The sequence below is a fragment of the Homo sapiens genome, chromosome 1 (genome assembly GCF_000001405.40).
Source record: "Homo sapiens chromosome 1, GRCh38.p14 Primary Assembly".
In the NCBI taxonomy this organism is placed as follows: domain Eukaryota; kingdom Metazoa; phylum Chordata; class Mammalia; order Primates; family Hominidae; genus Homo; species Homo sapiens.
Window position 1 is genome coordinate 68,136,189 of NC_000001.11, and position 27,268 is coordinate 68,163,456.

General features: G+C 42.4%; 1 protein-coding gene, 1 long non-coding RNA gene and 1 pseudogene across 5 annotated transcripts in view, besides 2 other annotated features; 1 reads left to right on the plus strand and 2 right to left on the minus strand.

Annotated features, from left to right (window-relative positions):
* The window catches only part of GNG12-AS1 (GNG12, DIRAS3 and WLS antisense RNA 1), a 370,700-nt gene that overhangs the window by 303,901 nt on the left and 39,531 nt on the right, over positions 1-27,268 (plus strand). Inside the window, exon 9 of the long non-coding RNA NR_040077.1 lies at positions 2,109-2,262. This is a non-coding gene — a long non-coding RNA (GNG12, DIRAS3 and WLS antisense RNA 1). The remainder of the gene's footprint in view (positions 1-2,108; positions 2,263-27,268) is intronic.
* WLS (Wnt ligand secretion mediator) overlaps positions 1-27,268 on the minus strand; it is a 134,088-nt gene that overhangs the window by 37,730 nt on the left and 69,090 nt on the right. For all 4 annotated transcript variants that reach the window (NM_001002292.4, XM_011542191.3, NM_001193334.1 and 1 more), the window contains 9 exons: positions 22,935-23,059; positions 18,911-19,072; positions 17,329-17,465; positions 14,000-14,168; positions 12,375-12,472; positions 11,948-12,011; positions 9,681-9,824; positions 8,381-8,464; positions 1,592-1,745 (listed from right to left, as the gene is read on the minus strand). In NM_001002292.4, the coding sequence (NP_001002292.3) occupies positions 1,592-1,745; positions 8,381-8,464; positions 9,681-9,824; positions 11,948-12,011; positions 12,375-12,472; positions 14,000-14,168; positions 17,329-17,465; positions 18,911-19,072; positions 22,935-23,059 (1,137 nt within the window). The remainder of the gene's footprint in view (positions 1-1,591; positions 1,746-8,380; positions 8,465-9,680; positions 9,825-11,947; positions 12,012-12,374; positions 12,473-13,999; positions 14,169-17,328; positions 17,466-18,910; positions 19,073-22,934; positions 23,060-27,268) is intronic.
* Positions 11,537-12,736: an enhancer, noted in NCBI's record as "BRD4-independent group 4 enhancer chr1:68613408-68614607 (GRCh37/hg19 assembly coordinates)". NCBI's record gives its function as "activates an origin of replication core promoter dependent on BRD2, P300/CBP, MED14 and CDK7 cofactors, and independent of BRD4, by STARR-seq in HCT116 cells {active_cell/tissue: HCT116}" and the evidence as "EXISTENCE:reporter gene assay evidence [ECO:0000049][PMID:35650434]".
* CTBP2P8 (CTBP2 pseudogene 8) lies at positions 25,369-27,041 on the minus strand (annotated as a pseudogene).
* Positions 25,657-26,233: an enhancer, noted in NCBI's record as "H3K4me1 hESC enhancer chr1:68627528-68628104 (GRCh37/hg19 assembly coordinates)". NCBI's record gives its function as "activates a minimal SCP1, AML or CMV promoter by ChIP-STARR-seq in primed H9 embryonic stem cells {active_cell/tissue: H9 hESC(primed)}" and the evidence as "EXISTENCE:reporter gene assay evidence [ECO:0000049][PMID:30033119]".

The following is a 27,268-nucleotide window of genomic DNA, read 5'->3' on the forward strand; positions in this document are numbered from 1 at the left end:
ATCTCATCTCTCAAGTAACTACCCCCCTCCCTTCTCCCCACAAGATCACTGAAGGCTAATCTAGAACTCTTACTTCTAAGCATTAATTCACTCAATATTTTAAAAGTATCCTAAAGAACTGGTCCTTGCCCTGAAGGAGTCGATGATCCAGCAGGAGCATAAAGGCACAGATGACTCATCTTCCACCTCTACACAATAAATGTCATGTGGAAAGTAGACTCATGATCCCCTAGGCATATTCCTTAGGACAACAGTTTCAAGAGATACACTGCCTAAAGAAAGGGTGCCAGGGCCAAATGATCTAATAATTCTGGAAAATGCTGTTACCACCCCCCGCTTTGTAAAGACTGACAGTACAAATTAATGTACTAAAGGCATTAACATGTATTGCAGTGAAAAGCCTTATTAGTGCTGATCAACTCAATCATTCTCAAGCATGTTTGACTACCTAAATTTATCAACATTTCATGGAGACAATATTCCATTGAATGTCATTTGCTGGATTCTAATTGGGGTGATTGGGAATAGGTGTTAAAGAAGATGCTGCATTTTGACTGGGCCCAAAAGATGAGTAGAGTTTCATTAGTCCCAGATGGAGGCAGAATGTGCAATCCACTCATGCAACACACACTCACTGAGTACTTCCTAAAGGTGAGGCCAACCCTTGGCTCTGGGGGGCTGCTACCCTGGTTTCCACTGCAAGGCAGAGTGAAAGGCACTAGAGCACTGATTTGAGAAAGGGCTTCCTATGTTTGGGGAATAGCAAATGCATGGCTAGAGTAAAGCAGGTGTAAAAAGAGACAGAATGAGGAATAAGGCTGAACCAAACAGAAAAAGCATCTATTAGATCAGTTGTTTATCAGGCCACCTGTTACCTGTTAACAGCACTGGCCTAGACAGTGTTAATCATTTCTGTCTGCTGTGGCTAGTGAAGAAACCCTGAGCAAGATCTTCCCTTCTCTAGGCCTCAGTTTCTTTATCTATAAAATGACTGGATTCTCTAAGGCTACTTGCAGCATCCATGTCTCAGTGTTCTGTGATTATAAGATATAAAAAGGCAGCAGCACATACCAGCACTAAAGGACAGGAAGAACTGGGGACAGGAGAATAGCTATTGGTTTAGACATACATCGAAAAATCACCTTGAAGAAAAATGAGCAGAAGAAAAATGAAGCCTATTCCATCTTCAGCTCTCAGGGCCCAGACTCCCTCCACCTGATATCTTAGGATTCTGCTTCTCAAATGGGAAGAATAAACATGGCATAGTTTCCAACAGTCAATTGTGCTCAAAAATGTAAAGAAGAAAATTTGACTCTTGTTCTAAAATCAAGACATATTTTAGACTTAGCATGCAATATTCTCAATGTATTTTAGAGATTTAAAAATGAGGACTTAAAGAAAGATCTGGCTTGTGTGGGCTTTTTGTCTTATGGGTGAGTCCCCTGGGTGCTCATTCACCGTCTCCCAGTGTGAGGAGTATACTTGGAGGGAAAGTTTCACTGGGCATCTCAGAGCTTTAGCCATTTAAATCTTGTAAAGACAGAAGCCTATTTATCCTGACTTAAGCTGTTCTAAAGAGACAGAAACTCACCATTGGACTGGTCTTCTCCATAGTTTTTATGGGATGGTGCATACAAGAACATCAGAGCAAAGACATACAGATTCCACATCCCATAGATGCCTGTGAAAAAGGCACTGTTCACTTGGACTGTGACGCCGCCCCATTTCCAATGGCCTTCCGTTACCTGCGGAGAAAGGATGGTGATATTCAATTGAAACAGAGAAGAAACAGAAGAAACATAACACCAATAAAGGAACCAACCAACATGAAAACCAAGTCTCTTCTACATGTGGGAAACATGAAGGGCCATGTAAGACTCCATCTTTTAATCTGAATCATTTCGGTGTAAATTAAGGTCAACTGAAGGTTCTCTAGCTTTCTGTCAGGCACAGTCAGTGGTCCTTACCTTGCCCACAGATTAGTATCACCTGGGGAGTGTCTCTTCCTAAAAACAGCAATTCATTGCTATCCCTAAGTTAAACAAACTGTGTTTGAGCCCATCACTTATTCACAATTATAATTCCTCCTCTGCTGTCTGTCTTCCCAGCTAGATGTCAATTCCCTGCAGGCAGAGACCAGTTCTCTGCTGCCATGTCTTTAAGGCCTGATGCACCATAGATTAATTCAAATCCAGTGTCTACCACTCACTCGGCTTAATGTAAGACAAGATGAAGACTCCAGACTTCAGAACTTCAGTGTCCGTAAGTGTAACATAAAAGCTTGCAGGTTATCGAAGAGAATTAAGTAAAAATATTTCTAGAACCTGCCTGGCAGGTACTCAGTAAATATTAGTTATTTCTATAACATCCCTTGAAGTAAGCCACTCATGAAAATAATTATGAAGCTTTCATATGCTTCAAAATTCTGCAAGAGATGTTTTGAAGCTGCTTTTGTCTGTGTTAATGATTTGGTAATTGTCTTAAGGGCTGCCTAAAGATATATGGATTACACTAAGAACTGTCAACAGAGCTGCTGAGCTAAGTGACTAATTTGTGCCAGCTCTGAGACAAATGAAATGATTTTGACCACTTCTGCTTACTACGGGACACTTAAAATGGAAATAGAAGAAAGTATTGGGTAAATATTCCTTTGACAGCTGAATGAGGCTGCGTTGTATAAACTTTCTCTAGGAATCACTTTTAAATTGTAAGATGGCAGGCTAGATTGAAATGTTAAGAACTTTAACAAGCAGGTGGATTTCATTGCCTGTTTATGATACAGTGGGTCTGTGTTCATTATCTTCTGTATAATCCATAACCCACTTGGGGCCCTAGGCCAAATTAAGGTCTAAGTATAGGTATTTTTTTCTGAAAGACCAGGAGTGTCAGTTAACCACATTAGCCAATTATAGACTTAGCAGTTTTAGTTTGGCCTTGGTGATACATAATTCTTCACTTTTTGTGACTCATAAACAAACCACTATTATGAACTCTTATTTATTTTGGAAAATAATGCATTTTATATAAAATGCCCAGAAGTGTTTTCTGGCAAAGATGGATTTCATAACCATTACTAATTTTAGGACAATGTACCAGCATTCAAGCTACTTAGGACTTCTTAGAAATGTCTCCAAATGTCGCTCTTCTTTAAGTGCAGAATATACTAACTTTATAAAAACTATATTACTTAGAGCATCTTATGATGATTTTTATTGCATATAATGGAAAGGAAAAGAAAGCATTAAGATAGTTTCCAGAAATACAGGTACCTGCTGTCATAACACAGAGAACTCTTCTGTATGTGATTAAGGAGGGGAGGCTAGGCTGTCACGCATCCTAGCTGCAAGAGAGAATATGGCAATATGGCAGCTCTTCTACTCTGTTAAGGCAGTGGACCCTTCAGCTCAGGGAAGGGCCAGTAAGAGACCCTATTCCTGCGACAGAAGCTGGAAATACTCAATATTGACAATTTTAGTGACATTGATTCTTGCTAGGATTGACATGACTGACCCATCTAAGGAAACACCAACCTATGTGCCTTGCACACAGTGGTGCTCGATAGACATATGTTGAATGAACAGAGGTAAAGTACAGGTATGTGTAGGGACTCCAGGACAAATACATGGAGGTAGAAAGTGGAGATGGAAAGAACCACTCTTAAAAGTACTTGATTGAAAAGTAAAGACAAAGTATTGCAGTCCACAAGTCATAATAATTGAATTTAAAAGTGAGAGGAGATGCCAATGTGTGACAAGTGTTATTCATTTAAAACATTGCTTTCCGTTATACTTATTTAAAATAAGTGGTTAACACAAATATTAGCAAAGCTAAGATTCTTTTGTATTCATAACAAGGATAAGCATATTTATTCAATGCTAATGATGTGCCAGATACAATACTAAATCCTTTTACATGAAACACATTATTTAGTCTTATTAATGACGCTGTGAGGTAGGTAGGTAATATTTCCATTCAACACATGGGTAAACTGTGGCACAGAAAGATGGAGTATCTTGCCCAAGATTGCTCAGCCAGAAAGCCATGGCTCTGACTCCAAAAGAAGGTATTCTTAACCATTATACAACACAAGGGTAGGAATGCTATCTTAAACAGGGGTTGATCTCTGAAGGTAGCACATGCTCTGAAGGTAGCACATGAGGCAACGACTATGTAAGGTCAAATTTCCTTTTGAAATTCACTTCATTGCCCATAATGTACATTACAAATACAACATACATGCACACATTTGTCTATTCAAATCTGTATAGTATGCACTATATATCCTGGACATAGTAACATATGGTATAAACTGGATATATAAACAAAATAAAAACTTACAGTAGAACCACTGGAATGAGATGCCCATAGTATGAGAGGCACACACCAAGCCTGACAGGAAATATCAGACTCATGCTCCCGTCTCGTACTTGCTCTGGGACACATGCACATTGTTTAGAGTGGAGTTGCAGAATTACACACCCTACTGAATGTGCAATCTGTAAATGTGGTGTTTCCTGCTGTGGGCAAAGAGTTGAACTGCAGAAATAAACGGTATAGATAGTGTAACTCTGCTCTTTGGTGGCTGGCTTGTTTTTCCCTCTCCTCTCCCAATTATTCATGCCTAAGACATCCTCAGCTCTGAGCACATTCCCACCAATATGTACCACAATGAGCAGCCTCAACAGAGCAGGCCTTGTAAATCCAAAATCTTACTAATGCCAAGGCGGAGGTAACAGTCTCCCCCCTTTTAACTTTGAGAGAAAAATCAGGTAGCCCCAGCCCCCCTCCGCCAAACCCTCCCCCCTCCTCAAAATCCCCAAATCTCACCCTCTGCATAAGTCTTATTTCTAAAAGTCCCTGTTTTTCCTGATTTTACATTTGAACAATTTACTTTTGTGTGAAACCACCCAATTATACCCCTGGAGCCAAGTGAAGGTCAAATCTCTTTACACCCAGTAGTCTTGACAACCAACATTCCACTTAACAACAAGATTTCCAAATCCCAGACACAGGCTCTCTTACCGGAAACATTTCCTCTGTAAGTAACAGAATGAAGTGATCACACACACACAAAAGAGCTGGGGACAGGCTCTCTGGGAGTTTGCTGCATGTGGCTTGACCTGAATGTCAGGCACCTGGGGGTCCCCTTAATGAAGGTCGGTGACCTTCTCCCCTGCACTGCACTTCTGTTCCCTACTGCCGCCACCTCTAAATGGAACGCCTCTTTCTTTTCCAGAGGGAAGGGGCTGAAATACCAGACTGCGATGTACCATCTCTTGGTTGCTATGACTGAGGCCATTAAAATGGCAGGCATTAAAAGACTGCACCTCAGTACCCAGCTACAAAGCCTCAAGGTCACTGCATTCCACAGCTTCCCGTCGCCTTTCATTCCTGGCCTCAGAGCTTCAATATCCTGGCGAGATCCCCTCGCATTATATTTCATGAGGCTTAAATGCAAGCTCTCCCACAGCAAGCCCGAGAGTATAATGGGGGTTTTAATACATTCCTTTTACCTAAGGCTGGGATCCATTTCAAAAAGTTACCCAATAGGTTTCCTTTCAGGTGAGCTCATTGCTCTGACATTCCAAAATGACATTAAAAAATAAATCCTCTGATGACTATATTAATACAGTACCTGGGACACTGAGAGTTATGCCGGAAAACGTCTTAGATGTCTATAAATAAATCTTAGAAAAAAAACCCAGCAGGAGGAATGTGAGGAGCTAATGGAATTCAAAAGGCCTCATTGCTACCCCCTTAGAGTTGAAATCCACTCCGGGCCGACTGTCGCAGCAGATATAAAAAGCCAGCCACAGGCTGAAGCTGTATTAGAAAATACTGAGGCAATAGAATATTAATCTTTTTCTCCAAAGAAAAGCCACGGACTATGCTCCTTGGAAGATGGCTTCCTTTGCTATAAGAAGTACACTAATTAAACATGTACAAGGTTAAATCCTGGCAACATGCAGCTGCTTCAGGGATCAGTCCTTCTTGACTTCAGGTGGGAGGCATTCCCCGCAGAGGCAAGATATACATGAGGCAGTGTGGGGAGAATGACGTCAGCCTCCCAAACTGGCACAAGGACCTGTGTGTGGCCTTAGGATCAAAAGCGTCCTTCTTTCTGCTTTCCTAAAAACATATCTTGAAATTGCCTTTTATGCCTCAACCCATCTTCCTTGAGATGCCGTTTCTCCAAGGAAGTGCTCTGTGCCCTCTCAGCCTTGCAGGTCTGGCTGTGTCAAGTGCCACTGTGCACTACTGAGGGACTGGAGGAACTGAAAAGCATTTTGGTCATAGGAGGGAATAGCCACGGGAGAAGTCAGGCCTCAGACACTCTTGTTTGAATATGGATGTTTGAGCCTTAGCTGGTAGAATAAAACACTCTTTCAGAGTTTGAAATAGTTTTACTGCAAATGGAGTGGAAAGCGAAGTTTCCAAGGTTTTATAAACAACCTGATATAAACACAGCAGTGTTGTAGGTCAAAGCAGATGTGGTGAACAGAACTTACAAAGACATATATGTGTATCAGTTTATTTTTTCCACGTTCATTTCAACCTCAGCAGAGCTAGCAACACTAACACTCCCCAGTGGCAGAGCCAACAACAGGGCTCTAGAGGCTCCAAACTTGGGGTCCTCTTGGGTGTCCTTGGATAGAATTCAAGGGGTCCATAAACTAGAATAGAAAAAATTATATATTTTCACTAGTCTCTAGCTGAAAGATAATGTTTACTTCAATTATGGATGTAGAAAAATCCCTATAGTGTTAGTACTACTGTGATTTTCTCAATAGAAATCATGATATTTTCACATCAATTACAGTTGTAGATATAAATCTGTAATATACCTGTAGCATCTGTTTCACTGTAAATATATATTACATATAATATATAGAGATGATTCCCCTTGAAATTCGAAGTATTTTATTTTACTTATTTGAAACCATTCTAAGAGGAGACTCGTAGCCTTCTTCAGGTTGCTAAAGGGGTCCATATACAAAAATGGTTAGGAGTCCCTGTACTAGGGAAACTTCCCAGCAGAATGGAGCAAGTCGTGTCCTAAGACACTATCTACACTACTGAAATCCTCCATTTTGGCTAAATGACAAAGCACTGGCAAAAGAGTCAGAAGGACTGCGTTCTGATCTCTAACTTATTGCATGTCCTTTGGCAAGAAAGACATTCAAGCTTCTTGCTATTCATAAGAACACAGCTACTCATGCTTACAATGTGCCAGGTGCTCTGCTAACTACATTTGGTTGCCACAATGATGGTTCAGTCAACAACAGACCACATGTATGACAGTGGTCCTGTAAGATTATAATATCATATTTTTACTGTATTTTTCTATGTTTAGATATGTTTGAAATACACAAATACTTACCATTGTGTTACAATTGCCTACAGTAGTCAGTAGAGGAACATGCTGTACAGGTTTGTAGCCTAGGAGCAATAGGTTACACCATATGGCCTAGGTATGTAGTAAGCTATACCATCTAGGTTTGTGTAAGTACACTCTATGATGTTCCCTTAATGAGGAACTCACATAATGATGCGTTTCTCAGAATGCATCCCTCTTTGTAAATATTACTTCCTGTAGTCATTACAGCAACCTTCTGTGGTTCTATTGTAATATTTATTTTGCAGATAAGAAAATTAAACCTTAGAACTGTTAAGTAATCCATCCACAGTCCTATCCAGCTAGGAAGCAACATAAATGAAAACTTTCTCCAAAGCTATTAGATATCATAGTCTAGCAAGCTAGGATAACAATTCCTGCCCTACTTACCTCGTAGGATTTTTGTGATGCTCAAATGAATAATAGATACATTAGATTTAAACAGTACTTCCCACCCTTCAAAACAAGTTATGAATATTTTAAAATGATTGTTATTGAGATTTTCAAGTATAGCAAAATGTTGAGTTTTGGAAATAACCAGTGAAAAGACAAGATGCTATCAAAGAGACTTTTGAATTACATTTCATATTTAAGTGGCAATATAATTATTACAAGGAATAGCTGATGGACTGTATAAGGATCTATGTTAATGCTAGATAAAAATGGAATCAAATTTATGCTTGTTAGTGTTGTGCTACACGGCTTGATAAGTTTTTCTCATAAGTAAATAAAATATGTGCCCTTCAATCTGGCTGTAGGCTTTTAATTTATTTGGAAACTTTTATCTCCTACAAGGTTTTACGGAAAGAGAAAATTTAGTCCATTTGGCCAGGTGATATCAAGACCCAGAAAAATATGGCTTGACCAGCTGTCCAGAATTATGGCCTCTCTCCTCCTTTCCTCAGTGGCTCTATTGAATTTCTGTGCAGGGTAGAGGGATCTCTGCAGAGACATTCTCACCTTGACATCTCAGGGTCCACTTACCTGACTAACGATGAAGAAGATGACAGTCATGGCAGCGCAGGCCAAGGTGATAAGCATGAGGAACTTGAACCTAAAAATTAGCCCCTATTAGAAAAGAAAGAGTAGTTTAATACTCCATCAGCTACCAATCCTTTTCTCACTATGTAAATCTATAAAAAGCTTAATTTTAAAGAAATCTGTAAAACCAAATCCCTAAGAATGACAGTAAAATAGTTTCCCATAGTAATATTTCTTCTGCAGAGGTGAGTGTGGCTGAAAATTTCTTGGGCCAAGTATTTCCTATGTTCTTATCACTCATAAAGCAGCGATACGAGAGCCTGGGAAATTATATTCACAACACGTCGTGAGGCTGCTAATTTCCCTGCTAAGCTGGTTATGCTTCTCTGCAAGGGTTCAAAGTTACCAAATCCAAGTTTTCTGTGGTTGTAATAAAATTCTGCTCCAGTGAACAAAAAGAAATGTGCATATTAATCAACATGAAGTGGATTTGGTTGAATTTTCTCATGTCACTCCAGCTCTGGAGACAGGCAAGCCTTAGAAAGTGCCTGTGGTTTCCTAAGAGCAGGATTTAAGAGAACCTGTGTTTCAGAGAGGGAGGCCTATTATTCAGGGGCTCTTCTGTGCAGATCTACTGCATATAAAAACTCTGAGGTTCTGTAGTTTCTGCTTCTCTTTTCATACAGGAATTAGGCTTGTTTCTCCAAGGACAGCCACTTAGGCATGAACCCAGGGGATCCCTGATAAATCAAGGATGTGTTGCTTGCATTGGGGATTTGAGGATGTTAAGTGTTTCTCTTGAATGAGGAACATAATCTATAAACAGAGATTACTGAACTCTGTCTGAGCATCTGCTGGATATTTTAGGGGAATGTGGCCTGTTAAGAGTCTGGAAATCAGATCACGTGGGCTAAACCCTGTTTAATTACAGGACAGGGTTGATTCTGGGACAGAACTTTGACTAAAGCCTCATCCCAACAAAATCCCAATTATGCCATAGTCCAATCTCCCAGCTAGTATGTAACCTACATTCCATCACCAAGCTGAAGAACCGGCTGAACAAGTTTATTCATTACTGAAAATGGAAACACATTTGTACCACAGAAAACACCAAGATTTAGGCCAGCTAGATGCTTCTCAGAGTAAGATTTGGCCTCTAATTTTGCCCAGAGATCCTACATGAGAATCTCTCAATTTGTATTTCAAAGTAAAGGCTTTCTATCTCCAGGGTGTGTGTGTTTACACATCAAGTGGAAAGATCAAGCAAGCACCAGTTCCAGAACGAGCCAAGAAATCTGCCCACCTCATAGTGTAGCCGCCGGACTTTGCTCATAGCTGGCAGGCTGGACTGCTTCCCACTGATGTTCCGAAACACCTGAAATACCATGAAGCATAGAAACAGGAAGTAGAGGCAGAGGCAGATTCCAGCCACGATGATGAAGGCCATCTGGTCGTGTCCAGTAAAGGAAACAACGGGCTAGCCAAGGCCAAGTTGAGCCGGGTCCAGGCCCTTCTCCCCAGGTCTGTTGGCAATACTTGTTTTGTCTCCAAATATGTAGAAAATTTTCAAGGGGATAAAATATTAAAACCTGATATTCTAATGCCAATGATAGGTTTCTTGACACATTAGTACCACAGAGGGAGGTGTTCAATATTGCTTTCTAAACCAAGTAAGAAAAGAAATGGTGTCTTGCTTGTTAGAAATGAAGAATCTAGGCCCTACCCTAGACCTAATGAATCAGAATCTACCTTTTAACCAGGTCCCCAGGAGATCCGTATACACAATAAATTTGAGAAGCACTAATAAACCATATATTCGTCACTATGGATCAGATGAAAAACCACAGTAAAATCACCAGAAGGGTTCAAATGTAGATCCCCAGGTCCCTCCCTAGATATATGGAATCAGATATTCCAGGGCTAGGACATCAAGTATGACTATGTTTGGGAACCACTGGGCTAGTCCTTGGAGTTTTATAAGAATGCGATTGAGATACTCTGGCATAATTGAAGAGGAGATACGTGGGGGCTCAGTGCAGGGGACCTGGGCATGGGCTTGAAAGTCTTAAAGTGAAACCAGGGATGAAGGACTATTTGCAATCTTCTGTCACCACAGAAAATCTTGTCCAACAGAATGGGGATTCAAGGACACATGGCACAGGTGGGAGTCTGGGTTGCTGCCAGTATACTTGAGACCCACTAGGGAGACTGACCTGCCAATTAGAGCCAGTCTGAGAACCACCAAGTCTTAGGATAGCGTGAGCTGCCTTGGAAGGCAGATGACCTGATTCCAACCCCTTTCTGCTACAACTTTGCCCAAATTGCCTTTTTTTTTTTGAGACAGAGTTTTGCTTTTGTTGCCCGGGCTGAAGTGCGATGGCACAATCTTGGCTCACCACAACCTCCTCCTCCCAGGTTCAAGCGATTCTCCTGCCTCAGCCTCCCGAGTAGCTGGGATTACAGGGATAAGCCACCACACCTGGCCCAAATTGTCTATTTTTAAAAGCATTTAATAAGTATGAACTTGGCGTGCATATTTCATTAAATAATATAATATCTAATGCAGTTTCTCCTTCTTTCCTATAATGAACATCATCCTGGAATGAAGGGAATATAGTTATTTTCTGCAGGACTTGAAATTTTACTCACTCCATCCTATCTACAAAATTAAAAAAGTTGAACTAGATTTAACATTAGAAACATTCTTCTTGTTGTGCAGCTAACATTTGGTGGGGGCATAACAGAGGAAGGGTAGAGCTTCTCTCTCATCTTTGAGGAAATGATACTACTGATTTAGTTTGCTCACAATGTTCTTGTGACACTGAGAAACCAATATAAACATCATGGCAAGACAAAGGATATTCCCTAGCACGTGGCAAGATATGAGCCATCAAGGAAGAATACAACCCAAGCCTTTCTCTCCACTCCAGAGCAGAGTCTTTTTCTCCCAAGATCATTTCACATACTATTCCGGAAGATAAAATATTTAAATCCAGCATCCTAAAAGGGATAAGCTAAGACTGTCACTTCTGCTTCATGAAGATGACTTAGAGTTTATGCCAACCAACCAGAAGCCTTGGCGACTTCTCTGGAACTAATCACCTTAGCCTTATCTCCACTTGGTCTCAGGAATAAATAGCAGCAGTGTGATTTGCCAGCACACCAAGGTCACTTAAGAAGTCTCACACATAGGTGGTTTCAGAAACAGGCTCTTCCACAGGGGCCCAGAGATGAACCTCCATGGCTCCAGGGAAAAGCTAGTCATGCTTCAGTCTGCAGGAAACAGTGTATAACAGATAATTCAGACAGGCTGCAGTAAGCCTAGCAACTCGGATCCCTCTGCTGTGAGGATAGGCTGTGACCTTCTCATTTTGCCTGCTCTCACCCAGGCTTGAAAGCAAGCAGTAATTCTTCTTATTATTAGCCTTAATTGTGCTGTTATGATTGGCCTGAGAATCAAAGCCCTGGCTGAGTACATATGGGGAGCATCAGCAGAGCCTTAGAAAATGATCTTGGGGACTGGGTGGCCAGGGGAAGAAATAAAACCCTGAGCCCATCAAGGAAGGATACGGCCAGCTCTGTTCCAATGTCTGTAGTCCAGATACTGTAGAAGGGATTCGTGAGTTGTACCCCTCTACAAAGAAAATGAGATGGAAAGGCAAGACACAATTAATACAAAGGCAACGGGAACTTTCCTTTTCACATATTCTTAGCTTTTCAGCTGCAGGGGTGAGGGCTGTATTTAGGCTAAAAAACATTACAGAAATCCTAAAGAGAAATGAAGCTTGTAGAATACATCGGCCCAAATATTTTTCAACTGTAAAGAGCTGTGCCTTTGATTTGATCCCAGACCTTGTCTGAGGATGTGACCACGTCCAGTGCTTCCAAACCAAAGGTTCCCGACCACCATTCTCCTTTTCAAACACTCCTCCTAAAATGACAGGAGTGGGCGTGGTGATGCACAGTTTGGCTCAGTGTCCCACAAACACTTGCTCACCTCTCACACATGTCAAATATGAAGAGGCAGAAGGAGCCAACGGCAATGGGTCCGACTTGCTTCCAATACCCTGCGATGTGGTTCCGCTCGTGCTGATCCTGAGGAAAACCAAATTGAGAAGGGAGATAGAGGGGAGAGGAAGACCAAGCAATTCTATGGGGGAGTCAGCATTCGAAGGACACTTGCCGACCACCTATTGTGTATCAAGCACTATGCTAGATTCTAGGTATGAGAACAAAGAAGATGAAAATCTCTTCTTCAGGAGCTCATCTCTGTGGGGGAGTCTGGCACATACGTAGAACATGACAAAGCCCAGCCATAAGGGCTCTGAGAGTAATAAGAACAGGATGCCATGGGAACACAAAGAAAGGCCTCGGCTCCCAGGCAGGGGACATTTTGTGGTCCACAAAATAACTCATTCTGAATTAAATTTCTACGTGACTTGTAACTTGTGTTTATAAAAGTGACTGATCCTCAGAAGACAAAGTAAAGACATTAAAGCATTTAAATATGTAAAGTGTGTCTATTATGGTGAGGAAAATAGGCATATTTTCTCCCCATCCTTATTAAAACCAGGAATGAGTCCCCTTGATAAACAAAGACACCAAGAGAAAGAAAAGGAAGGAATGTAGAATGAGAAAAAAGGGAAAGCAAAGATGATCTTAGCCTCCAGGTGGGGCCCCAGGTGGGTCAGTCCACACCAGCTCCCTGCGGACAATCCTTGGCTGGCTTCCTGGTGCTGGACCAAGTTCCATCCACTCCCCCGCCCTGCTGCTGAGGCCTCATTCTCAGCGCATCTCTGCTGGAGGACACCTCATGGAGAAAGACCCCTTAATGTAGACAGTTTAGCAGTAGGAAGAAGTCTCTCTCTCTGCTCTCACACTGCTCTCCTGGAAGGGCAGCAGGACTTGAGAGGTCTGGTTTTCATGATTGAGCCATAATGGAATTTAAAAACAGTCCACTCTGCTGTGAAGCCCATGTGCCTGACGTGAAGACCAAGTTCCAGCTGGCATATCATCTTAGCCACAATGTGATGATGACACCATTCTTATTTTTAACCATGGTACCTTCAATCCCTCTTGAAATATGATTTGGTGTCTGTGCAAACTGAGGAGACCGGGAAGGTCTGTATTTCAGAGTAATAGGGGTTACTAGGCCACCTGGACACATTGCCAGCTGGAAAGAGCCAGGCCCACATTCTCTGATGGTTAACCTGTATTCCTGGGGACAGGACAAGCAGGGCAGAAGCCAGCAGACAAGAAACTCAAGCTCAAGGGCAAGAAATAATACTAATCATTAGAATGTGTGTGTTTATCTTAAGTTACTCACATTCTGTCATTTAATTCTCATGAAAACCCCATGCAGTAGGTCTTTACATCCCATTTTATAGATGAGGGACCCGAGATTCAGAGTGATAATGTCATTTGCCTAAAGCCACTCAGCTGGTCAGCAGGTGGTGAAGCAGGAATGTGAACCAGAGGGTCTGCCTCCAGAGTTCCCACTTGTAACTACTAGTTTATTCTGTCTCACCCACTGCTGACTAGAGGCAAAGGGGGGCAGGTGTCAGCTTGGCAGCCTGCACAGAGCAGCTGGTACAGACGTCTGTCCCTCCCGGCGGCTCTTACCATCATGTGCTCGCCACAGAAGATGATCCAGAAGGACAGAAGCATCGCATAGAAGATGCCCTGTCGGATGTCACCAAACAGCAGCATCCAGGTCCAGTCAAACCCGATGGAAAACCATTCCACTGGGATATTGATAAAGGTCATGGAAATCCCAAGGGCAAAGATGACTCTGATGGTGAGAAAATATCAGGACAGCCACTTTATTCATCTGGAAGGCAGATTTTCAAACAATTCCCCGAATTCAGTTTTGAGACATGAGATGTTACTTATTGGGTCTGAAGCCATATGATCAATTTCTTCTGCACAGAGATGCAAAACGTCCTATGTAGTTGGCACTGCTGCAGAATGAGGGAGTGCTATACCAACCTTTCTATGGAAGTGAACCTGACCTCCTTAATGCCTCACACTTTACTTTGGTACCACTGCAGATGGCAGTCTTCCTATAATGTTTGTGTCCCCTTGCCTTCTCACCCAGGCCTCAGTGAGTACAATTGTCCTCTTTCACCTATTCAGGTTATCATTCATCTGATCATTAAGAACACTCATTATTATTGTGATATCCTCAGCAACTATGAATTATATAAGCATATTTGTTTCAATAATACATGACTCCAAACACATTTGAAATGTAAATTCTCTTGACTGCTTGTTTAGCTTTTATTTTACTCTTCCCCTGTCACACTAAGAACTGCCAATTCTCTACTAAAATATAATTCTTAAGTCACTGATTTATTCATACTTTTTTCCATCCCCTTGAAACACATATGTTAATTAAGCACAGATCATGTACCAGGTATTGTGTTAGCACTATGGAATCCTAAATGAACAGGACCTGTTTTTTCACTCACGGGAGATACAGTTAGTAGAGGAGCCAGATAAAGAGACAACTGAATAGATTAGGATCAGGAACATCATAGAGTTTTAAAGCATAGAGGGCTGCTACCAGGACTTCTGACTTTGACACAGACAGGAATGGAGCTGACTTGTGAGTCAAAGTGAGGGAAGTGGAAAGGGTGTTTGGAGGAGAGGGCAGAGCCTGGATGGAGGCATAGAGGCCTGGAAGAACCTGCTGCATTTGGGGATCTGCATGTGGCACATCAGGAAATGACAGGACATGAGACCAGAGAAACAAAGAGGGCTGTGCTCATGAAGAAACTTGCATACCCCACTGGAGAACTGAAATTTATCTTGAAGAGACTTTTTATTGGAATCCAATAAAAAGTTTAAACAATGGAGTGACATGATTCATTCAAAAAATATTTATTAAACTCCTACTATGTGTCAGTCACTATTCTAAGATGCTGGGAATATAACTGTGAACAAGAAAAGCAAGGATTGTGCTCTTGTGATGCTTGCATAGAGATGGAATGAGAGAGGGAGTACAAGAAAAAGATAATAAATGAAGAATGAGCATCATGAAAAAAAAAGCTAGGCAAGAGAGTGGAGAGCAATGGGGATGTGATTTTACGTAAGGTGGACAGACGAAGAGATCAGCAGGTGTGAAGGCCCTGGGGTGTGGGTTTGAGCACAATAAAGGGGGCTGGTGGGTGGTGGAGAGGACAAGTGACAAGATCAGAGGTGGAAGGCACCCAATCATCAAGGGGCTTATAGGTCAGGGCAAAGGAGATGAAAAGCCAGTGGAGAGCTTTGAGCAGAGGGGTGACAGGATCTGATTAACACTTGAAAGGGGGCACTCCTGGCTATCCTGTGAATAGGCTGCAGGGAGGCACGTGATGGAAGCAAGGAAAGGGGTTGCGAGGCTGTTCCCACTGATCCAGGTGAGAAGCGATGGTTGGTTAGTTAGATTAGGGTGGCAGCAGTGGAATTGGTGAGATTTCCTGGTGAGGTTGATGAGAAGTGTGAAAAACAGAGACATACAGGATGACTCACTGCTACATTTCCAGTCTGAACAACTGAAAGGATGGAGTTGCCTTTTACTGAAATGGGGATCCTGGGAGGGAATAGGTTGGAAATGGGACACAATCAAGTGTTGTTCTTGGTACATGTGACATTTTCAATGCAAATGAAGACATTAAGTAAAGAGCTGGAATATTTGGGTCCAGAGTTGGGAGAGGCTGAGGCTAAAGATACAGATTAAGAGTCATCAGAGAATAGATGATTTTTCAGACCACAAAGGTAGGTGAAATCAACCCCCCTAGGGAAAGCACAGCTAATAAAGAGAAGAGGTCCAAAGCAGGTGCCCCAGTCCCAAAGTCTAAGAGTCTGGAAAGATGGAAGGAGACAGGAATGGAATCTAAATGCTGGTCAGCAAAGAAGAATGACCAACAGAAGGGTAGAGGAGACTCTGGGAAGAAAAACTGATCAATTATGTCAGATGCTGGGATGAATAAAAAAAAAGTGAGGAACAAAAAATGACCTTTGGATTTGGACTATGAAGGTTGTTGGTGATCCCGTGAAAAGCAGTTTTAGTAGAGTGGTGGAGATGAATCCAGACTGGAAAGGACTCAAGAGAGAACAGAGGAGAAGACATATGCACAAGGTTTTTGAGAAGCATTGCTGTAAAGAGGAGCAGAAAAAGGGTATGTGGCTTCAGGGGGAAGTGGGAAATGGGAGAATTTTGTCTAAGAATGGGAGATGGCAGGACATGTTTGTATATTAATAGAATCCAGCAGAAAGGGAGAAGTCAATGATGTGGAGAGAAAGTAGGTACATCTACAGGAGCACTGTCTTTCTGTAAGTGAGAGGAGCTGGGCTTAGGGGAGTTTCTTCACTACAACACAGACAAGTATCTGATTCTGACCACGGAATATCCCGAAGAGCAAAGACAGGTTAAAGAACCAGAAAGGTCAGCTGGGTGTGGTGGCTCACACCTGTAATCCCAGCACTTTGGGAAGCTGAAGCGGGCAAATCACTTGAGCTCAGGATTTCGAGATCAGCCTGGGCAACATAGGGAAACCCTGTCTCTACAAAAAATACAAAAAACTAGCTGGGAAGCATACACCTGTGGTTCTAGCTACCGGGAGGCTGAGGTGGGATGACCACTGGAGCCTGGAAAGTCAAGGCTGCAGCAAGCTGAGATCCCAGCACTGCACTCCAGCCTGGACAACAGAGTGAGACCTTGTCTCCAAAAAATAAATTAATTAATTAAAAAGAGCCAGAAAGGTGAGAGAGGTAGAACCCCGAGGATTTACTTAATAACAACTTGCATAGGAAAACTGCAGGAGAAAAAGGAGTCCAGGATGACTCCTGGTCAAATCACTGGCCTAAGTCACACACTGGCTGCTTGAACTGGACACCAGCAAAAGCAAGAGCTTGGCAGATCATGAGAAGCCAGTATTCCTGAAGAGCGCTCCAAAACCAGCTCTTACTTTTCCAGAAGCACTGGGGGTCGGGACATCATGGTGATCCTCCTCCAATACCACACCATAATGATGAAGATGCTGGGCGTAAGGAAGGTCTTCATGGCAAACCACACCTTGGTGAAGCCTCCATTTTGGTGGATCCCCTAGGCAGAGACCAGTGATAATTTTGAAGGTGAATATTATCTTAGCATTTCCTTCTACTAGCAAATGCTTTTGTGGGAGAGGTAAGTGGAGACCTCGTCTGCGAATGTTCACGATCAAGAGCTTTCACATTCATAGCAGGTACTGCCCTCATACACCCTTGGACTCTCCTCAGAGATAATAGAAATACATATTAAAAGAGCCCTGTGCTATGGACCTGAGACCAGAGAAATAAAGAGGGCATCCCATTCACAATAACGGCTTTCATGTTCTGGGGTCTGAAAGAAGAACATGGGGCTTTGGGGCAGGGTCACTATTTCCAAGAGACTTCGAATTATCTTACCTTGGACTCATCCCACTGATATTAAAATGCTAATACCTAAAGATACACTTTAGAGGTACGGATTAATAGGGCAGGTATGGATTAATAGGGCATACAGGGTGTATGATATCTACCCAGCTACCACCCCCACAGTGTACCCCCCAAAAAAGCCACATTTGAGGTAGAACCAGAAATTTCAGGTAAAAAGCAGAGATATCCTCTATCTCTTAACACCTCTCTTGGCCGTTTAATCCTCATTCTACCCTCACATCTTACTAATCTGGTCTACTAAGGCTACAAGAGCTTTTTCCCTATGCTAAGATTACGATTAAGTACATGATCAATTTTTTTTGTAAGCTTTTCATTAGAAAGTTGCAGATATCCTAGATGGTCAATATGTTGAGATTGGTAAGTGTTAAGGTAAATCTATTCTATAAAATGCTAATCAATATTGGAAAGTATATTTATATTACATTCACCAATTTATATTACATATACCATTAAATAAAGAAAGCAAGGAAAACAGTCAGTTCAATATGATCCTACTTTTTGTAAGGGAATTACTACGTATAAAAAAAAGCCTGGAAGGAGATATATCAAAACCTGAACAGTGATTATTTCTCTAAATAGTAGGACATTACAGGTAATTATTATGCTTTTCTGTGTCTCTACACAATTCTTGTGGGACTTTGTTGAGATTGAAAAGAAATGGCCTCCTTGCAGCAAGTTCTAACTTTTCCCCAATTAAACAAATATGATGGAAAGAACCTAAACCACCCCTATTCCTTTTAACATTTGTGCTTGCAAGGTGAAACACATAAAAAAGAAAATTTACTTTTATCTCAGTGTTATTCATTATGCAATCATGACTATTTCATGATCTTATCATCATTGTAATGATCTTAAGTGATCTTAAGCCCATTTAAAATCTTAAGTGGGCACAATAATTGCATTGTTTCCCATTTCTGTAATCTCTCACACAAATTAGTTCACTTTATGATCTCAGCCATCATGAGTATGTTATTATTCCCATTTCTCAGATGAGACAGGTGAGGCATAGAGGTGCCAAGAGTGAGATGGAGTTCCCCTCCAATACACATGTCAAGATCAATTACATTCACTTACCACCAACCGGATATCCTTTATCTCCCCAATTCCCACATTGATTTTCTTCTTCTCATTCACAGGCAGCCGGATGTTTAAAAGGTAAAACTTATGGGCCACAGACCCAATTTCCATGAAAGGAAGGACATCACATTCATAGTAACGGCCCTCATGCTCTGGAGTCTGGAAAAAGAGCAGAGGGTTTGAGGCAGGGTCACTATTTCCAATAGACTGGCTCTGAATTCTGTTACCCTGGATCCATAACATCAATTGTAAGCAGCTAATGCTTAAAGGTACACTTTAGACGTACAGAGTAACAATGCATACTGGAGGCATGGCGTCTACCCAGCTATCCCAACCTAAAACAAACATCAACAACAACAACAACAAAAAACAGCTGTATTCAAGGTAGAACCAGAAATTTTAGGTAGAAAGCAGAGATACCTTCCTTCTATCTCCTAACACCTTTCTAGGCTGTTTAATCTTCATTAGAACCTCGCATCTTACGAATCTTGTCTGCCAGGGCTACAAGAGTTTTTATCTGCAGTGTGTTGTCAGGGTCCTCTAAGGCTCTGTGGAACAGTCAGCTTCTTAAACGTTCAGGTGGAAGCTCTTGCTGAATCATTACACTCTTTAATGACGGCTAATTATTCTCCTGATTTTGGCCTGAGGGAGAAGCTAGAAGAAGCTGAAAATATCTTCTTTTTATTCACTTGCCAGGAAAAAAAAAGACACAAGGAGCCGTTGGTATTTAGGGAAGGTCGAAACAGAAGAAAGAAAGATAATAAGATTAGTGGCCAGAGATACCCACTAAGAATTTTCTGCCTCCGGTGCTTCCTAACAGTCCAAGATGGCAGAAGGGAATAGAAGTTTTAATGAAATAAGAATTTAGCCCAGTGTCTAGGAAAGCCTCTTGGACTTCGTGCCAAACAATTTAAGAGATACTGCCCAGAGCACGGTGGTGGGAAATTGGACAGTAGGGAGACACCTTTTTTTTGAAAACTAAATTCTGCTCCACCTCACCAGGACTCCCGGCTGTGTACCTGCTGAGGGGTGGGGGCCAGGGGTAAAGATGAGCATAAAGAGGCATGAGCTTCAGCAGGCCGGGACTTTTCCCTGATATAGAAGATGAGAGTCTACCATCAATGTTGGGTTTCTATGTCAGCTTCAATGTTTCCTTGGCACCTCCTGATCAAGTGATAGGGGAGATCTAATTTGTCGTTCCTAAGCCTGAATTTGCAAGACCTCCATAATTTGTCATAAATCTTCAGAGCAAAGATCCACTGAAGAAGTGAGAAGAAAGAAGATAACAAAGAGTCCATAGTCTAAGAGTATGTAGGAAGGGGCTAGGAAGGGGCTCTGCCCCTTCTGAGATCTTGGCTGGTGGGGAGGGTTCCTTACTGAACAGTCAGAGCTTAGAATGCAGTAAACAGACCTTTGTACAGAGACAGAGACACACACGGCAAGGTAGAGGTGGGGAGGTGCTTCTACCTCCTCTTGCCCACCACGGCACACATAACCAATCAGTCGTCAACAGTTTTTATCCCTAAGGTGTGAGCAGCTCTTGTCAGACACACCAGTTGATTAGAGTTGGCATGTGAGATTTTTAAAAATTCTTCTGTAGAAAGAATGCTGCTTTTTCAAACCTCAGCTGCAGGTCAGATGATTCTTCCTATATAGATCATCTTTCTCTCCCCTCCACTCCTTTCTCTCTTATACTTTCAAATCAGGGAGGATGGGGGCTCTGCAGGTACTACTAAAAGTTCACTGCAGGCTCTAATTCTCCCTCAGATTAAGCTGCAGTGAGGAGGCTGATTATCCTCTGTGGTAACAGCAAGAGGGTATTTTCTGATTTGTTTCCAGTTAGGGCCTTATTTTATTGATGGAAATTGAGAACTTGAGGGCGGAAGGGAACAAAACCTACTTAGTCTAATTCCATCTGGTGTGTGTCTCGCCCAGGGTCCCAAAAGTAGTAGCAGAATTGGGAGAAGGACATGGGCCCTGCCCAAAGGCAGGCATTGTGCTGTGATAAAGACTCCTGAACTCCAGGCCAGGAGGCTGATTCTAGTCCTGACCATGTTCCTTGCTGGGTACCTTGGGTCACCCTGCCTCATTTGGCCTCAGTTTCCTCCTAAGTGAGAAAGTTAAGTAAGATGATCTCCAGGGTCACTTCTAATCCCCCACGATGGGTCTCTGGGTGCCCCACACTTCCCTGTCACTACTGAGTGAGTAACATGGACACCCTTGACACAAATTTACCTAAGTTCAAATTAAAAGAGACACATTGGCATCTGGGACACTGGCTCAACCTTCCTGTCTCAGAGACAAGTTCGTTGTATCCTGTTAGAGACTTTTCTTCATGCACTAAAGTCCTGCCTCTGCCAGTATTTAGGGCATTTAAGAAGATTCCTCTCTCTCCTTCCTTTGCCCCACCCCCAGTTCTCCCCCAACTCCAGCATGAGACTAGCTCATTAGGACAAATTACAGCAGGTGGCAACTTGACTTTTTTTTTTTTAACTTCACAATCCACCAGGGACTCAAAAGCTTTAAAGCAATTTCTCATTTAATCTTGAGACTCAAGACTAAATTTCACTGCAATCAAAAAGCAGAGACTTGATGATTCATTTCCTTCGCACTTTTCAAGATTTAATATCTTTCTTGCAAGGGATCAACACATCCTAAAGATAATTAAGCATTAAGAAGCAGTTGCAGGCAAACACCCTTCCCCCTCGCTACTCAGTGCCCTCCATGTGTATAAATGAGAAATGACTTTTCCCTTTTCTATGGATAAAATTCTGTATCCGAAAGCCATCTAGCTTAGATGTTCAACCAGTATTTCAAAGATGCAGTCAACTTGCAGAGATAGCTAGAAAGGTTTTTAATTTTCTTGGTTGCATGCAAAGATCTGAAAATGTTAGCTGTTCCTCTCTCCTGCTTCCTCTAGTTTGTCTATCATTCATTTCTACCTACAAATGGCTTTCTCTGGAGGACAGCCCTATATTTAGCACTCAGCAGAGGGTCTAGGGCAGTGGCTCTCAAACTTCATAGAGTTTAATAAACTGAAGGCCTGTTAAAACACAGATTCCTTGCTCCTACACCCTGAGACATTGACTTAATAGGTTCTGGGTGTGCCCTGGGAATCTGCCTTTCCTAAAACCTCTCAGGTGATGCTGCCACTGTTGGTTCTCAGAACACATTTTCTGTAGCTTTGTTCTAGGAAACCTGCGGGAGGGAGACTCCCCTAGTGTTTCAAAAAACACTGCAATGGGTACTTAGGTTTACCCATGGAGGGCCTTAGTTTATATGTTTTCTCCTAGTGGCCCATCTGGTTAATATCCGCTTTGACTCTCAAATATGTCCCAGACAAGATGTTAAATTAGAAGGTCATCCTGCCTACGTCATTGTATCATCTAGTCCAGGGGTGTCCAATCTTTTGGCTTCTCTGGGCCAAACCGGAAGGAGGAGAATTGTCTTGAGCCACACATAAAATACACTAATAATAGCTGATGAGCTAAAAAAAAAAAAAATCACAAAAAGAAATTATAATGTTTTAAGAAAGTAATGAATTTACATTGGGCCACATTCAAAGCCGTCCTGGGCTGCATGCGGCCCGCAGGCAGAGTTGGACAAGCTTGATCTAGCCCTTAAACAGACTCCCAAGGTAGGTACTCTTATCTCATCTTGCAGAAGAAAAACTGAAGCTCAGACAGATTATGTAAGCTTACCTGAGGTCACACCGTCAGTGATAAAACCACCTAATCTTTCTCCTCTTTAGGAAAAAAATGGCTAAAGCTGGGGCAAGGTACTCAGAGGCTTCAACCTCATGTTTTTACTATTTTGCAGGAAATCTTAACAGTAATAGGCAAAAGCAAAGTTAGGAAAGGCCCGTGGCAGGAGAGAAGAGGAAATAAAATGCTCCGCAGAGCAGGTATTACCAAAGCTGTCCTCATGCGAAGAAGGGACACACCTATGAAAAGTAAGCAAATCTTTCCACATACCTGAGAACCAAATAAAAACTGTCAGCTTAGACAGCAAGGGGTCATACCTTGGGAGATGTGAAGGTGCATTTGAGTTTCCGTGGTACTCTTTCATGGGCCATTTCAGTCCACTCAGCAAACGCGTCATCACGGTAAGCCAGGGAAACGTCCATGGAGACTTCTGCATTTTCTCCTGCAAGAGAAAGGATGCACGTTTCAGAAATGACTTTTGGAAAGATATTTTAGAAACAGCTCAAAAAATTCTTATAGGCTTTGACTTGGAAACCAACGAGACAAAAGGGAAATATTAATTTCTATCAAACTCCAAACCTGAAGACTTAGAAGTCATAGGATGAAAGTCTAAGCCAAATGCTGGGTCCCCTCTCATGTCCACTCTGCCAGAGTCAAGAGCCTCCATTTAAACTCTTCCAGAGACAGGGGCCTCACTCTCTCTGAGGGAGCACAAATGGTCAGACCTCATCCTCCCATAACTTGTACCATGGGTCCTAGGTCTGCCTGTAGAAGCCACGTGGAAGGTGATGTCCTTCCTTCTTCCATAAAAAGTGCCTTATGTTCTTGAAAACCATACCACATCTGCCTGCATTCTCTTTCCTCTCTGATAAACATGACCAAGTTTTTCAACCACCTCTCAGACACGTCCCTCTGGGGCTCTTCTCTGGTCACACTCTGTCTGAAAACATCCTTCTCAAACTTATTCCCGAAAGTTCTCAAATATAGGATTTGCTACTTTTCCAAAAGTCAAAATCCCTTCATATTGTGGATGAAGTTAATGTAAAAGGCAAAGTGTTTTTCCAAAATTAAAGACTTATACACAGATAGGAATAATACATAATTGCACAAATGAATGTTCACACATACTTCCATATGTGTGGACTGGACCACGAATGAGTTAAACTCACCACAGAACTCATTAAGGAGATGAGATTAATAAAACATTGCACCTATTAATTTTGTCTGTTTTATACTATGATGAGCAAGTTCAAGAGCAGAGAAGTCTTTTTTTTTTTTTTTTTTTTTTGAGTATAAAGGTTTAATTCTATTTAAAAAGAAAGTCCATTAAATCAACTTCAAGTTCTTAACTCATGGGACTATTTTGGAACACTTCTTTGTAAATATCATTTTGTTAGGTTATTGGCAAAACAGTTTCAAGGTTCACTTCCCTCCCTTGAACCAGGTCCAGGTCATTTTGCTTTGGGGTAAATTAAAATCAGAATTCTAAAAGTTGAGCAACTTTGTTTTTTTTTAATTGACTTAGCTCTAACCCACCATTACAACTTAAGGACGGCATGACTTGATAATGATGGACTTGTGTGAGGTTTTGAGTTTTCAATTAAACTTTGTATCACATGAGGTAATTGTCAGCATTCTTGAGTCTGGTTATGGAATAGGCAGATAGAACCCTGTAGTAACAAGAGTTGGAAATTGGCTAATTGACAACGCACTTGCCTTAAACATCTCAAGTAGAGAACTTTTACATTAGTGAGATGTACTTGAATTTCAGAACTCAACAAATTTTAATTACTTTTTACTGAAAACTGCAGTGAATGCTAAATGTCTACGTTTACAATAAACAAATACAGTAACAGTAACTCACACTGAAACAAAACATACTTCTGATAGCCATTATTTTTCTGCTTGGGACAATTTTAAAGTTTTTCTTTTGTCACAAAAACAGGAATGTATCCAAACAAAGGCTCAAAAGAGGCCATCTTTTCAAACAAAAAGGCAATGATTCACAAAAGACTGTGAATAGAACATGTAACTAGTTGATACAAATCTAATAGGATTTGTTAAAATCAGTCACATCTAATACATCTGAAGTGCTCTTGTATAAAATATCACGTGAAGAAAAGAAGACTTTATCAATGTCTAAAAAAGTGGGTTTGTTCATAGACAATCTGACAAGTTACCATAAAAAGTGTTTCCTGAGACATAAGGAAATGCAACATTATTCTTCTTGAACCGTTTTAGCTCAACTTTCCACTCAATAAAACAGCAGAGGATCTGAAACTGAGAAAATGTATTTGAGTACAAACAGCTTGTGAAAGTTAATACTTTTTTTTTGCATCAGAGGGTTTTTACTGAACTTACAACCAACTTGCCCACTCAGTATGCAGTTCAGATGTGAGAGATGCTTCTCTGTACAGGAGCCTGTACTGTCTTCAATCCTATGCGAGCAAGTGTCTACCACAGGCAAACAGTTTTCTCCCCATTTTGTAGTAATGTAATTTTCCTATTAGCAAAAGGAGGTCACCAGCCCCTGTAGACTTAAGGGACTCAAGTCACAGGATGGGGATATCCTCTTAATATTTTTTATTTTGTTGTTTGAACTCTTGATGCAACATTGTAGAGCAGGGTGTTCAGGACCTGCTGTGCCCAAGGGACTGATAAAGGAAAAAGCTCTATTTATTCTTTGTGATTTGATGCACAGATGAAAAACTTAACACACAATAACAGAAGTTGGTCGTTAATAAATCACATCCTAGTCTTTCAGCGCTTCCGTAAGCAGACGACATCTTCAGTTTTCTAGCTCTTGTAGTTTTAACACTGCAGCATCAATGATGCATAAGTCCAGAATCAGTTACAAAGACCATCATATTCTTTTTCTCTTAGTTCATCATTTTTCACTATCTCTTGGTCCCAAATGTATCTGAATGATTACCTTCCGGCATTCTCTGCTATTGCTCGTTGGAGTGCTCTCGATTGTCCCCGTGTTTTGTGGGCTGGTTGGGAGAGGGCGCCTGGGAAGGATGTGCCACTGTTGGGAGGTTGTGAGTCACTGGGATGCCTCCAGGGATGATCCCTTCCACGGCTGCAGGAAGTCCTCCTGGAGCCACGCCCACGATGCCTGGCGGATATCTGTATGTGGCACCATTGAGCTCAGGATGAATTGCTTGCTGGTCTATTACTGACCAAGGCGCTGATGTGACAGAGAATTCCTTGTTCACACAGTTTCTTAAGCTTTCTGGGATGTGACCTGTGATGGCTCGGCGGATCTCAGTGGCAGCTGCCTCCCTCATCTCCAGTGACGCCTGCTTGCTGTACCAGGCAGTGTGAGGAGTGCAGATAAGATTCGGTGCATCTTTCAACGGACCCTGAGCAAAGCTAAAGGGCTCCGACTCACGCACATAGAGGGCTGCCCCTCGTATCCTGCCCTCCTTGAGAGCTTGTGCTAAGGCTTTCTCGTCCACCAGGCCACCACGGGGTGCGTTCACAAGGAATGCTCCCTGCCTCATCTGCTTTATGGTAAAGTCATTGATGAGGTGGTGGTTATGTTCGTTGAGATTGCAGTGCAAGGAGACGCAGTCGCTCTGATACAGCAAATCCTACAGAGTGTAGACCCTCTGCACGCCCAGGGATCGCTCGATCCCATCCTGCAAGTAGGGGTCATAAAATATGACGCTGAATCCAAAGGCCTTGGCTCGAACTGCAACCGCCTACCCCCTGCGATCAAAGCCGATGAGGCCCAGCATTTCCCCACGGATGCTGGCCGATCCCGAGGCCAACTCGCGGTTCTGCTCCATGCTCTGAACCCGTGTGCCTTACCGCAGTGCTTGGTACAGCCATGTGTTCCTCTGGTACAGATTGAGGATGTGGCAGATGGTAGAGTCCGGTGTCTCTTCCACGGCTGCAGACGGGATATTGCACACAGCAATTCCGAGCTCGCTGGCAGCCTTGATGTCCACGTTATCGTAGCCACTGCCTATCTGCACGATCACTCTCGGGGCCTTAAACTTTTCTAGGTCCTCCCTGGTGAGGATGATGGTGTGGTACATCATGGTACCCATGGCTTCGTTAGAACCTTCTCGTGGATTTCCTGCGTGGACTGCGCGTCACAGAAGGCCACAGTGGCCAGGTCTTTCAGGATGGGCATCTCCACAGTGCAGTCGCGGCCGTCCAGCAGCGCCACCAGGGGGCAGGAGTGCAGGGGGCCGTTCATGATCTGGGGGCGGATACCTTCACAAATTCTGTCCAATTGCTGTCTCTTGACTTTGTGCTTATCCACAAGGGCCATACTTTATGGAACTTTGCAACTCTCAGATCAAAAGGCAAAGCAGTCCTCTAAGAACTTAGGGGAACTCGCAGGAGTCTCCGTGCATGACGCCACTATGAACCCACTATAAATCTGTACACACTATAAATCTGTACACTATAAATCTATAGTTCACACGATGGGCTGTCCGTCTTTTTAAGGGAATACAGCTTCATTGGTTCAAAACCATTTAAGGTGATGAAACCCTCGTCCCGGACGGTCAGCGTCCACGGCAAAAGGCGCCCACTCTGGAGGCCGCGGTGGCGGTGGCTCCCGCCCCTCCCACCCCACCCTGCGGCGGTGGCGGTGGCGGTGGCTGCAGCTGTGCAGCCTCCCCTCAGCGCAGCA